Below are 14869 nucleotides of genomic sequence, written 5' to 3'. Positions count from 1 at the left end.
ATGCTGAGAAGTCTCCTCAAATTCTCGTGATTTCTCAGTCACCTCAGATCTTGTCCCAGAACATTTTAAAGGCACCTCAAGGCCTCAGAGCCTAACCTCATCAAATCATTGATTCACAGTGAATTATTTATTGAATACACTGTAACCCTGAAAGCTTTACAGTCAGGGCCTCTCTCTCAATCCCTATCTGCTGTGACTCTTGTTTAAATCAAACTCAGATCTCCATGGTGATGTTAAAGCAAACACTGAGGGAGACTGGCCTGGGAGCAAAAATGCAGCTGGTGAAAAGCCAATGGGACATTTTAGGTAATGGGAGAAGGAAGGAAACAGACCTCTGACATCTACTAAGTGCCCAGCATTTTACACGCATTGTCTGCTGTCATCTTCATAAGAGCCCATGAGGTCTACAATGAGGTCTGAATGTTTAGGCTCATTTTACAGAGGAGACCCAGAGAGGTCACCAAGAAGGGAAATATGGAGCCAGAATTGAAACGAAGGCCTGTCTATGTGCACAGAGGACTTTCCATGCTTGTCATCACCTTAAGGGTAGAGTTCCCCTTACAGTGTAAGACTGTTTCTCTCTGAAGTCCCCCTCTTTCTGGATGACCAAAGGGCAAAGCATATCACCTCTTAAATTTTCCCATCTGAAAACTGGCTATGAACTCTCAGCGTTATCTACCAAGAACAGCCTAATCAGCATGACAGCTCTTTGTTTGCTCCAACATTATGGGGGCACAGAGAGGAATGCTGTGATACCCAGGACAGCCCATAGGCTGGTAAGACACTCTGCAGAAGGCTTTGTCAATTTCAGCATGGTCACACCATGGGGATGTCCCCCAGGGCCATCATTGGCCTCTGCAGAGAAGGACTTTGATGCTTCTTTATATCAGTGAGCGTCAGAGGACGCTGCATTGCTGTTGGGCTTCACTGCTCAAATTCCTCAGACTGCATTCACAACATATGTTAAAATTCTATACATTAAAAGACAGAAAAAAACAAGGAGACTTCCGGTTCCAAAATGGTAGCATAGAAGCAACCTGGCTTCACTCCCACCCACAGAAAACCAAAAACAAATATACAACACTGAGATGATCACCAGCAATATTTCAGAATGCAAATGTGAAGATGAGACTGTTCCCAGAGCCACAGAGAAGTGAAAAGACTCAGAGCAGATGGTAAGAAAATTGGACTTCCACATCCTTGATGCCTCTGTCCCCATCCTGCCTGGCACTGAGCCTGCAGAAAACTTACCACCAACTCACTGTTTCTGCCCTGGAAAAAGTGGGATTGAGGTGGACAACCAGCTTCCCCATCATCTTGGGTTCTCTGGCGGGAGACTGTTCCTGCCATGATCCATAGAAAACAACTCAAGTGCTGAAGGGAGAAATATCCCTGAGGACATCAGAGACAAGGGAGGAAGGACTACCAAGCCCAGCCGTGAAAACTCTGCTCTGTAATTTGGCCAAAGGGGACTCCAAATCAGAGTGTCTGTTCAGCAGCACCATGCTGTTGGAGATTTATTCTACAGGTCTCCTGGGCATGAACCCATGGCTGCCATCCCCACACTACCCAGAAATCCCCTTTGAGACCTCCCCTATTTGGGAAAGGCAGCACTCCAGTCCTTTACTACAGCCAAGGAGAACCTGGGCTTAAGGCACCACTTAGAGTCCAAAAGGAGGCAGTGGCCTAGCAGTAAAGAATCTTTAACCAAAACAAGTCAGACAGAGAAGACTATAGTAAATAATGAATCCTTTAATGCAAAGACACTGACATACATCTACAAGAAACAATAGCAAACAGGGAACCATGATCTCCCAAAATGGACAAAGTAAGAAACCAGTAACTGACTCTAATGAGATGATGATACGTGAGCTCCTTGACCAAGAATTAAAAACTGCATCTTTAAGAAAACTTCAAGATAACACAGAAAAGCAATTCAGATATTTATCAGAGTAATTTAACAGAGAGAAATCTTGGAACTGAGAAAAACACCTGTGGAACTGAAAATTTCACTAGAGGCTCTCAACAGCAGAATGGGTCAAGCAGAGGAAAGAATCAGTGAGCTTAAAGACAGGCTATTTGAAAATACAGTCAGAGGAGAAAAAAGAAAAAAGAATAAAAAGGAACAAAGATCACCTGCAAAATACAGAAAATTACCTCAAAGAGCAAATGTAAGAATTATCGGTGTTCAGGAGAAAGTAGAGGAAGAGCAAGAGTTAGGAATCTTATTCAAAGAAATAATAACAGAAAACTTTCCAAAACTTGAAAAAGATATAAATATCCAGGTACAGGAAGGTCAGAGAACACCAAACAGATTCAACCCAAACAAGACTACCCCCAAGGCATATAATAATCAAACTCTCAAAGGTCAAGGACAAAGAGAGGATTTATAAAGCAGCAAGAGAAAAGAAGCAAATAACCCATACAGGAGCTTCAATTCATCCGGCAACAGACTTCTCAAAGGAAATCATACAGGCCAGGAAGGAGTGGAAAGACATTTTCAAAGTGCTAAAAGAAAAAAAAAACTGTCATCCAAGAATACTATAGCCAGCAAAGTTATCCTTCAAATATGAAAGACAGATATCGTCTTTTCTAGACAAACAAAAGCTGAGGGAATTCACCACCCCCGCATCTGTCTTAGAAGAAAGGTTAAAGGGAGTTTTTCCATCTGAAAGGAAAAAAAATTAAAACGCTAGCATGCAAAAAATACATAAAAAATAAAAAACACCCTGAAGGTTTAGAATCCATTGGTAAAATTAGGGACATGGACAAACCCAGAATACTCTAATACCATAATTGTGATACACAATCCACTCATAACTCTAGTATGAAGCCCAGAAGATACATCTATTGAAAACAGTAATAGCTACAACAACTTGCTGAGAAATAGGTAATATAGAAATACGTAAACTGAAACAACTAAAAGTAAAAATATGGGGGAGATGAGGATAAAGGGCATAATTTTTTTTGTTTCTATTCTTTTCTTTGTGATCTAAATTATTATCACTTTAAAATAACATGCTATATGATTTTATAAGCCTCATGATAACCATAATGCAAAAACCTATAATAGATTTAATAAAAATAAGTATCAATGGATTTAAACATACTCCTAGAGAAAAAGCACTTAACCACAAAGAAAAATAGTAAGAAAGGAAGAGGGGATATACAAAATAAACAGAAAACAAGCAACAAAATGGCAATAGTAAGTCCTTACTTATGAATAATAGTACTGAATGTAAGTGACCTCGATTTTCCAATGAAAAGGTATAGAGTGGCTGAATGAATAAAGAAACAAATCTCAACTATATCATGCCTATGAGAAACCCACTTCACCTATAATGACACATAGACTGAAAGTGATGGGCTGGAAAAAGTTATTCCATGCAACTTGAAACCAAAAAAGAGCAGGAGTAGCTCTATTTATAGCCAATGAAATAGGCTGCAAATCAAAGCCTGTAAAAAGACACAAAGCAGGTCACTATATAATGATAAAGGGGTCAATGCACCATGAGGATATAACAATTCTAAATACCTATGCCCTCAACACGAATCTCCCAAGTATATAAAGCAAACATTAATAAATCTAAAGGAAGAGATAGACTGAAATACAGTAACAGCAGGGGACTTTAACACTCCTCTCAGTTATGAGCAGCTATGGACAGATCACCCAGACAGAAGATCAACAAAGGAACATCAGAGTTAAACTACACACCAGACCTAATAGGCCTAACTGGCATTTATGGAACATTTCACCCAAATGCTATAGAATTCATCAGCACATAGAACATTCTCCAGAATAGACCATATCTTAGGCCACGAAACAGGTCTGAACAAATTTTTAAAAGTAGAAATCATATCAAGTATCTTTTCTGACCGCAAATAAATAAAACTAGAAATCAATTACAAGAAGAACATCAGAAACTCCACAAACACATGGAAATTAAACAACATGCTCCTGAACGGCCAATGGGTCAATAAAGAAATTGAGAAAGAAATTATAAAATTTCTTGAAACAAACTAAAATGGAAACACAACACACCCAAATCTATGGGATACAGCAAGGAAATACGAAGAGGAAAGTTTATAGCAATAAACATAAACTTTAAAAAATCAAGGAACTAGAAAAAACAAACCAAATCCAAAATTAATAGAAAGAAATACTAATAATCGGAGCAGAAATAAATGAAATTGAGACTACCAAACTATACAGAAAATCAATGAAATGAAAAGTTGGTCTTTTGAAAAGATAAACAAAATCAACAAAGTAGACCGACTAGAAAAGAAGAGAGAAAACTCAAAATAAATAAAATCAGAAATGAAAAAGAGACATAACAACTGAGACCACAGAAATACGAAGAGTTACTAGGACAAGTATAAACAACTATATGCCAACAAACTGAAAAACCTGGAAGAAATGGATAAATTCCTGGACACATACAACCCACCAAGATTGAACCATGAGAAAACAGAAAACCTCAATAAGTCAACAATTAGTAACAAAATCAAAGCTGTCATAAAGTCTCCTATCAAAAAAAAAAAAGCCTAGGATCCAATGGTTTCACCACTCAATTCTACCAAACATTTAAAGAAGAACTGATACCAATCCTACTCAAACTGCTCAAAAATAACTGAAGAGGAGGGAATACTTCCAAACTCATTCTATGAAGCCAGCGTTTCCCTGATATCAAAACCAGAAAAGGACACAACAAAAAAAAACGACAGGTCAATATGAATAATGATCCAACAATCCTCAACACAACACTAGCAAACTGAACCCAACAACACACCACAAAGATAATACACCACAATCAAGTGGATTTTGTACCAAGGATACAATGATGGTTTAACATATGCAAATCAATAAATATGATACATCACATACAAACTAGGCAAAGAAGGAATATACTCCAAAATAATAAAGGCTATATACAACAAACCCACAGCCAACATTATACTGAATGGAGAAAAGTTGGAAGTATTTCCTTTAAGAACTGGAGTGAGACCAAGATGCTCACTTTCACCACTCGTATTCAACATGGTACTGGAAGTCTTGGCCACAGCAATCAGCCAAGAGAAAGAAATGAAAGGCATCCAAATTGGAAAAGAGGAAGTAAAATTATCCCTGTTTACTGATGACATGATCTTATAGCTGGAAAAACTAAAGAGTCCATGAAAAAACAGATTTGATAAATGAATTTAGTAAAGTTGCAGGATACCAAATCAGTGCCACAAAAATCAGCAGTGTTTCTTTATACCAATATTGATCTAGCTAAGAATGAAATCAAGAAGGCAATCCCATTTAAAATAGCTACCAGAAAAATACCTACAAATAAATTTAACCAAGGAAGTGAAAGATCTCTACAAGGAAAACTACAAACGCCTCCTTAGAAATTGTAGATGACACAAATGAAAAAACATTTCATACTCATGGATTAGAAGAATTAATACTGTTAAAATGACCATACATTCCAAAGCAATCTACAGGTTCAATGTAATTCCTACCAAAATACCAACTCATTTTTCACAGAATTGGAAAAAATAACCCTAAATTCAAATGGAACCCAAAAAGAGCCCACATAGCAAAAGAAATCCTAAGCAAGAAGAACAAAGCTGGAGGCACCACGTTACCTAACTTCAAATTATATTACAAGGCTACAGTGACTAAAACAGCATGGTACTGTTATACAAATAGACACATAAACCAATGGAACAGAATGGAGAACCCAGAAATAAAGCCACGTATTTACAGCCAACTCATTTTTGCCAAAGCTGACAAAAACATAATTAGGAAAAACACACACTCTTCAATAATGGGTGCTGGGAAAAATGAATTGTCCTATGCAGAAGAATGAAAACGGACCCCTATCTCTCACCATATACAAAAATCAACTCAAGATGGATTAAAGACTTTAATGTAAGGCCCAAAACTATAAAAATGCTAGAAGAAAACCTAGGGAAAGCTCTTCTGAATATTTGTCTAGGCAAAGAATTTATGACTCAGACCAGAAAAGCACAGGCAACTAAAACAAAAATAGGCAAACAGGCCTTAATTAAACTGAAAAGCTTCCACACAGCAAAAGAAATAACCAACAGCATGGACAGACAACCTACACAACGGGAGAAAATATTTGCAAACTATTCATCCAACAGGGGATTAATATCCAGACTTTATAAGGAACTCAAACAACTCAACAACAACAAAAAACAAATAATCATATTTAAAAGTGGGCAAAGGACACAAATAGACATTTTTCAAAAGAAGACATACACATGGTCGACAGGCAGATGAAAAAATGCTCAACATCACCAATCATCAGAGAAATGCAAATTAGATCCACAATAAGATATCATCTTACACCAGTCAGAAGGGTATTAATAAAAAGACAAAAAAATAACAGATGTTGGTGAGGATGTGGAACAGTGCAACTCTTGTACACTGTTCATGGAAATATAAGTTAGTACAGACTCTACGGAAAACAGTTCAGAGATTGCTCAAATACCTAAAAATAGAATGACCATTAGATCCAGCAGTCCCACTACTAGGTACCTACCCAGAGGAAAAGGGAAAAGAAATTAGGATATCAAAAAGACACCTGCACTCATATGTTTATCGCAGCACTATTCACAATAGAAAAGATGTGGAATCAACTCAAGTGTCTATCAATGGATGACTGGATAAAGAAAATGTGGCGTATATACACAATGAAAGACTACTCAGCCATGAACATGAATGAGATCATGTCTTCTGCAGCAACATAAATAGAACTGGAGGTTGTTACCTTAAGTGAAACGAGGCAGACACAGAAAGACAATGGAACAGAACGTAGAACCCAGAAATAAAGCCACATATTTACAGCCAACAAATACCACATGTTCTCACTCATAAATGGATACTAAAAAAAAAAAAAAAATATATATATATATATATATATATATATATATATATACACACATGGAGGCAGAGAAAATGACAGGCAGTGGAGACTTGGAATTGTGATGGGGTACGGGGGGGTGGAGTATTCAAAATTACTTCGTGCATACAGTGTACATTATTCGGGTGATGAATACTCCAAAAGCCCTGACTTCACCATTATGCAATCTACACATGTAACAAAATTATACTTGTACCTCATAAATTTATATATATATAAATCATAATAAAATTTAAAGAAAAATTAAAGATTATGGAATTAAATGAGATTAAGAAATGTTGTGTAACCTTCTCCTGGAGAAGTATAATGTGTATTAGTGTATCAGAGACGCTGATAAATCCTACCGTAAAGAAATCTGAAACTTTCTTCCCTAAAATATATTTATCAAATATGACCACACCATATGTATTCTCTGGAATCAGCTATTACTTGAAATACCTTAAATTACCATTCAGGAAGCATTCCCTTCCCTCCACCCCACCAACCTCCTCAAACTGTACTCCCCCTGCCCCACTGAGGTTGAACCTGACCATGGCTTGGCAAATGGAACCCTAGCAAATGTGAGTTGAGCAGAAGTCTTAAAATGTGCTTGTGTGGTTGAGCTTGGTTCCTGAGCTCTGGTGTTCTGCATAAGAAGAACATGTCCTGGTGGCCTCAGTCCTGTTCCTGTCAGCTCGAGTCCCAGTATAAACAGATATGAAGCAGACCCAAGCCCATCAGCCAACAGCCTGAACACCCAGCCAAGCCTTGGCCAAAGTAACCAAACCACAGTCAACACAGTGATGTGAGAATAAATGCTGAGTGCATGCCACTGGGTTCGTTATTGCCATATAGCTGACTAATACACCATCCATCAGAATTGCTATTCTAACAATTGCACTTCGAGACATGAATGTGGTATGGCAAAACATTCTTAGGAGGAAACCTCCTTAGAAGGTGTTGGGAAAGAATGAATGGTACCTGGCAGGAGTTCAAGACACATTTGGAGGGCACATCTTAAAATTAAGGGGCCTGGAAATGACATGGGCTTTTTAGAGTAGAGAGGTACGGGTCAAGAAAAAGTTAAGCAACCCAATGTAAAAAGACAGGCACGAGATATGAGCAGGTGAGTCACAGAGGACGAGACCCAAAAAGTCAATAAACACAGAAAAATATGTTCCATCTTACCAGGTATGAGGGAGATGCAAAATAACAAGATTAAGCTGTAATCTCACACCCACTTGAGTGCAAACATGGAAAGTCTGATGACTCCAAGGTGTGGAGCAGTGAGTCACCTCACAGATAAGCTGGCAATAGGTAGAGAAAAAGAAAGTTGTGCACACATCTTCCACCCTATCCAAGCATCTGACTGGAGACGTGTTCACAGGTGCTCGCTGCAGCCCTGATTGGAGTGGCAAAATCTCAGGATAGAAATCCTAGCTCTCCCACAGCAGGGGAATACATAAATCAAATAGATTACACGTGCTACATGGACAAATTACCTAAACAAAGTTGGGCACATAAAGCAAACTTCAAAAGGCAAAGTAATGCCATTCTTTGCAAAACAAGCTAAGCAGCAGAACATATTGATTGCAGGGAGACATACATATATACATACAGACAGACAATCAAGATACATTATGATGTGTATATTGTGTTTTATGTTTTTAATATAAAAGGGGGATGACCCACACCAATTTCAGGGTAGAGGTTACTTCCAGGTGGGTGGTGAGGGTGGGTGTGAGAGGATGGAGGAGAGAAGCTATCATAGTGTATTTCTTTGAGAGAGAGCAATTCCAAACATATATGGAAAAAGTTGACATTGATGACAGCTAGATTACAGGCATTGAGCTGGACTCGGCTCTGGTGTGGTAAAAACTGAAGCCCTAAATTTCAATGGCACCTACATTATTCCTGCTCACCATCCACTGGCCCACACTAATCATGCGACCCCAAATTAACCACAGGGGAGGCCGGGAAGAAGGCAATGATGGATTATTTAGTGAACATTCATTTGGCTCTGTTTCATGAGTACCTGGGCATGTGTCCTACCATGGTAGGTACTTTTCAGGATATGTTCAAGATTTCTTAATTAAAGTGAAGATAACGAAAAAGAATCACTTCCTATCCCTAACAAAAAGGAGAGGATTCAACCAAGTCATTCTAGAGAAAACCTGAGACCAGCTCCACCCCCAATTATCCTGAGACTGCCCCTGGATGAAGGTCCTGCTTGAGGTCAAATGCACCCAGGAAGTGGTAGGGTTGGCCCAGCATTAGTGTGGTCCTTGTTCAGGGATGGCACAGGCACAGAGTCCCCTGGTCTATAGGACTGTCCCTCTGTTTCAAATCCACTCTGCCCAACAGCCGTGCTCAGTGTGAAGCAAGGGTGATCCCTGAGGCTGCATCACAGCAGGAGGCAGGACATAGGGAGCAGCCCAAGGTAAGCTTTCTCTCCAGCTCAGAATGCTTGCAGAACCCTGTTGCTCCTCCTGACAGAATCAGAGCCAACTCTGATTTCCTGGCTTCCACAGCATCCCCTAAGATGACCCTGTAAATGTAAAGGGTCTTCTCGGTCTCAGCAGTGTTTCCCAAAAACCACATCACCATCCATCCTTTCTTCCATCCACCCATCCATCTGTCCATCCATCAGTCCATCCACCCATCTATTTATCCAGCCATCTGTCTGCCTATCCATCCATTTATCAATCCATCAATCCATTCATCTGTCTATCCATCCATCAATCCATTCATTCATCTGTCCATCCATCCATCCATCCACCCACCCATCCATCCATATATCCATCTATTCATCCATCCATCCATCAATCCACTCATCCATCTGTCCATCTATCAGTCCATCCATCTATCCATCCATTCATCCACCCATCTATCCATCCATTCATCTATCCATGTATCCATCCATTCATCCATCCATCAATCCATTCATCCATCTGTCCGTCCATCCATCCACCTGTCCATCAATTCATCTATCCACCTATCAATCCATTCATTCATCTATCCATTCATCCATCCATCCATTCATCTATCCATCTATCTATCCATTCATCCATCTCTCCATTCATCTATCCATCCATATGTCCATCCATTAATCTATCCACCTATTCTTCCATTCATCCATCCATCCATCCATCTCCCCATCCACCCATCCATCCATCCATTCTTCTATCCATCTATCAATCCATTCATCTATCTGTCCATCCATCCATACATCCATCCATCAATCCATCAATCCATTCATCCATCTGTCCATCCATCCATTCATCCATCCATCCATTCATCCATCCATCTGTCAAGCCATTCGTCCATCTGTCCATCCATCCATCTGTCCATTCATCCATCCACCCGGCTGTCCATCTGTCAATCCATTCATCCAATGCCCAACATGTATCTCCTATGCCAGATCTGAGTTTGGTTCCAGGGATCTGGTGATCAATAAGATAAACCTGGCAGGTCTCCATCCTCGCATCCTCAACCAGCCTATGTTCTAGTGGTGGTGGTGGTGGTGGTGGTGGTGGGGCAAACCATAAACAGGAACTCCCACATTTCAATGAGAGAGGTTATAAAGAATGCCTGGGGGCCTCTTTGCACTGAGTAGTGAGGGAAGCTTCTTTGAAGAAAAGAGGTTTATGGGGAGACTGAATGGGGGGCAGGATCCAGTACCTGGGGTTGGTGCCACATGCACTCCAGGCAGCAGCCGTAGCATGCACAAGCCCTTACAGGGACTGAGCTTAGTGTAGTCCAGGGTCAGCCAAGAGGCTACTGTCACTGGACACTGAACAGTAAGAGGTAGAGTGGGAGGAGCTGAGACTGGGGATGGGGTAGGAGCCGGGGGTGGGGTTTTTGCAGGGGGTATGGCTTGTATGTTATTTCAAGTACCCTGGAAGGATTTTAAACCTCGGTCCTAACCAGCCCAACCTCTGGCTACTTGAAGTGTGGTCCCCAGACCAGCAGCATGGGCAGCACTCGGGAGCTTGTTAGAAATGCAAAGTCTTGGGTTGCCCTCCAGACCCTAGACCGGTGGAATCTGACCATGTGTCCCTTGCAGGAAGATCCCAGGAGATTCGAGTGCCCGTGGAGTCTGAGAAGTGCTGTACCAGATCCTCTCCCGGGGAAAACCTCTGGGAGGACCTACCTTGAACTCACGCCTTCCCTGGCTGGCCCAAACTGCAGCACTTTATAAGGGCTTTTCTAAGTGACTTTCTTGTGCCTCTGGTGAGACCCCGCAGTCTACACATTGGGCTTTGCTCAACCCTCTGTGGCTTCTGTGGCTTGTGAGGGCAAGACCACGTGGAGGAGCACGCCCTGCACACTTCAAACCCTGATGCCAACCAGGGGCTTTCCAGGGAAGAATGGTGCTTCCCTCCTCACCCCCAGCCTTTTGCACCGATTCAAGGGGGCCTGAGATTGAGCAGGAGACCCCCATCACCACCACAAGAAGAAAGGGGCAGAGCACTGGATCATCAGGGAAGCCAGGAGGGGGTGCCGCTGACATGCGGCCCGTCAAATGCAGGACAATTAAAAACACATTCAGCTTCGAGCCACTTTCAGAATGAAAAGACCATACTTGTCATTAAAAGTGTATTTATTGCAATTACACAGAAGGATTCTTAGGAGACTCAGTGCACATTCATTAATTGTGTCTTTAATAGCCCTATTTAATATGTGCTCTCCAGACGAGGGCACCGCCAGCCTTCCATCCACAGGGGCCTCAAATGCAGACAGAGGGTGGGGGTGGGAGGAAGCAGCATCTTGAAGAGAGAGTGATGGCAAGCTCTCAACTCTTAGCACCATCTTCCGGCGTGAGTCCCAAAACAGAGGGTGAGGACAGGAGCAGGTAATGTGCAAAGGAGAAAATGTGAGTAGTAATTAAAACAGAAAACTGTTCCTCCTTACTAGGAAACAAACAACAAAAAAAAAGCAAATTAAAGCAATGATGCCGTCCCCTTCCTGCCCTCAGCTCCTCCTGTCAAATGAGCAGGAGTTAGAAAAGTCGCCAGCAGGATGCAGGGCACTGCCCAGGTGGGAATGCACATTCGTCTTGAGGAAGAATTGAATGCCACTGCGCACCAGCTGTAAATCCATTCACACTCCCTGGCTCAGTCATGTAACTGATTCATTCCAGGGAACAAAATGAAAATGAAAACTACCTGCTTAAATTTTTTATGGCAGCATCAATAAGGGGACAGCTAAGTATTAGAGTGAACCAACTCCAGGGGCTCGTAACAGCCATAAAAGAAATGATGACGCAGACCCTGTCACTACATGGAAAAACTAGAAACATATTTTAAAAATGATAAAAAGAATATAAAACTGCATTCTGTGTCTCTACCTATATAAATATGTTAGCATCAGAAAAGATAATATAAACAAAGAAAGTAATTGCTCCGATGGGTAGGGATGTGGGTGAACTTTGGTGAGATGACTAATGTCTCTGCAAGCATTTTTAATAAAGGCGAAGAAACATCTGGGTATAGAGACAGTGATGAGAAGGGAACACGGAAAATTAAAATCTGTCAATTTGCTTTGGAGAAAAACTGAATTTAGATCACGTACTGTTCTAGGGACATTTCACACATTTCCTCATTCAGTTCTCACAACTTCCCCTCAGGGGCATCTTATCCCCATTTAACAGACATGGAGACGGAGGCTCTCTGGAGCAGAAGGAAGTCCCCACCACCCCACCCTTGGAGCAGCTGTGAGTGGGTGGTTTGGCCTCTCTGCTGCCACCTGCTTCTGAGGAATCCTGTCTGGAGCCTGTAAGTGGTTTTGGGCCCCATGCCAGGGGGCCAGACACAGTCAGTCCCACCCCACCCCCACCGCACAAGGACTCCAGCAAACGTAAACTAAGCCGGCAACTCCGTCGTATAAGTGCAGATCACACCGGGAAAGAAAAGATCGTTCCCTGTTCAGAAGACACTTCACACAGTCTCATTGCCTCCACATCCAGCCATGCTGAGAGGCTGCAGTGAGGGGAGGGAAGCGGGTACTCTGGAAACTTGTGAGGCGGGTATCCCCAGGCAGATCCCTCCATGCCAAGGAGGACTGCAGCCCAGCACTTGACAGACATACTGGAGTTGGGGCAAATCAGCTAACTGAGGGCCTTTGCTGGAAGAAGACTTGACCATCTCCGTCCGCTTTGTCACCGAGGAACCCACCCTGAGACCCTCTGCCCAGCAGTGAAGGCGCCCTCCCTGGGCCTGCCCTGTCCAGGAGTGTTGCCTCCAAAACCTGCCTTGGAACATACATTTTCAAAGAGCAGCAATGACATTTCACAGGGCCCACGGAGCTTACACTTTTCTGCTCTCGTCTCGAAGTAGTGAACACTGCTGAGCCCAGCACCGGAGGAACGAGACATTTTTAAAGCAACCCCACCAGCACACAAAGCAACGGGGGGCCGTGGCAGGGAACATCTGTCCTCTACACAGGGATACGACCCATCACTCACCCCCCGTTTTCTGGTGGTGACGACGGAATTAGAAGAGACCAGTGGGTCTGGGGAGTGAATCCACACCGAGAAGAGCTTCTAGGAAAAGCGTTTTTGCTGGGAGCGGCTGAGGACTACTCGGGGGACTGTGAGTGTCTTAAACCCTGAGCTTGGCCTCATTTAGCAGCACAGATGACCAGGCCTGTGGGCTCCAGGTGATGCCATTCCTTCTACCACAAAGAAAGAACCCAACTCCAGACATGTTTCAACAACTTCCCAGAGCATTGCAGAAATCCCTCCGTAAGAACCAACAGAATGAATCACCAAACCCCTTAGCTAAAAGCAAAGCCAAAAATGGAAAATAAACCAACTCGAGGTCCTGATCAGCAGGTAGAGGCATCTTTTTATGGATTTCAAATAGAAAAAATGAATTAATTATTACTTGAGAAACATATGTTGGAAACCAAAATGGTTTCACACCCAGAGAACATGGAGGTGGTAATCGGTACATGGAAGAAAGAGAATCTTTTGCAGGAGAAAAGCTTTGAAACCACAGCCCAGAGGCTGGGGACCATCTGTACCCTTCCTGGGTGAGTGGATGTAAATATTGAGGAGGATGATAACCAAAATGGGTTCTCAAATCCTCCTTCTTTCTCATCTCATTTAAAACATCAAAGGGGCAATCTAATGTTCCTGGACTGAATTCACATTTCACACATAAAGAGATATCCCCCATCGCCAGTGGCTTATTTATTTACCAAGCTCTTTGGCTAAGCCTGGAAGAAAGAAAAACGCCCAAACAATGAGGATAATCAGAGCCTTTGGTGGGCTCCAGGAGCTGCGTGTGAAGTTCTGAGCACAAGTGAAGGGAAATTGTGCACTGACCTGAATTCACAATGCAAACCCTCCTCCTCCGGGGAGGAAAAAAAGGAAGCGGGGAGAAAAACAGAAAGAAAAGAAAGCCAAGACGCTTTCTGAACAGTTGTCTATTCTGCAGTGCAGTTTATACCCACTGCCCAAACTGTTAAGCTACTTTCAACTTTTCCTTTATGCATTTTCTAGCCAAAGAAAAGTTGCGAGGCCACTGACTCACAGGGGCTGCCACAGTGAGGTGTTTGGATCTCGGTCCTCAGCTGAGAGCCTGGGAAGATGGCACGCAGGTGCATAAGAGAAAGGCCTGCCATCGGGCTGACTTACCGCCACAGAGAACTTTCCAGAACCTTCCCCATGTCTGCGTGGTAGTACTTCGTCAGGATCAAGATCACCTGTGGTGTTAACAGAAAGTAAAAGGCAGAAATCAGTGGGTGCCAAGGTTCTCAAAGAGAGGTACAGTGACACCACTCCGTGCCAGAATTTGGGGTCTCTAAATAACAGCCGCCCAGGGGCCTCTCTTAGTCAGTATCCCTGAGAGGCTCTGGGCCACCCTACATGAGAGCCCTTAGACGTGGGCTTATTTCTGCTCTGAGGACTTGCTTGTGCTCTGCAGAATGACTCTGGGAACATCTGAATC

At 42.3% G+C, this 14869-nt stretch overlaps 1 protein-coding gene across 8 annotated transcripts in view, besides 1 other annotated feature; it reads right to left on the bottom strand.

The window, feature by feature from the left end:
* The window catches only part of SORCS2 (sortilin related VPS10 domain containing receptor 2), a 550290-nt gene that overhangs the window by 331916 nt on the left and 203505 nt on the right, over positions 1–14869 (bottom strand). For all 8 annotated transcript variants that reach the window (XM_005247987.5, XM_011513515.3, XM_011513516.3 and 5 more), the window contains exon 2: positions 14557–14624. In XM_005247987.5, coding sequence (XP_005248044.2) covers positions 14557–14624 — 68 coding nt within the window. The remainder of the gene's footprint in view (positions 1–14556; positions 14625–14869) is intronic.
* Positions 11249–11750: an enhancer, noted in NCBI's record as "H3K4me1 hESC enhancer chr4:7400889-7401390 (GRCh37/hg19 assembly coordinates)". NCBI's record gives its function as "activates a minimal SCP1, AML or CMV promoter by ChIP-STARR-seq in primed H9 embryonic stem cells {active_cell/tissue: H9 hESC(primed)}" and the evidence as "EXISTENCE:reporter gene assay evidence [ECO:0000049][PMID:30033119]".

Source organism: Homo sapiens, chromosome 4 (genome assembly GCF_000001405.40).
Source record: "Homo sapiens chromosome 4, GRCh38.p14 Primary Assembly".
NCBI classification, from domain to species: Eukaryota; Metazoa; Chordata; class Mammalia; order Primates; family Hominidae; genus Homo; species Homo sapiens.
Note: the sequence above shows the minus strand (reverse complement) of the source record. Positions and strands in the feature narration are given on the sequence as shown.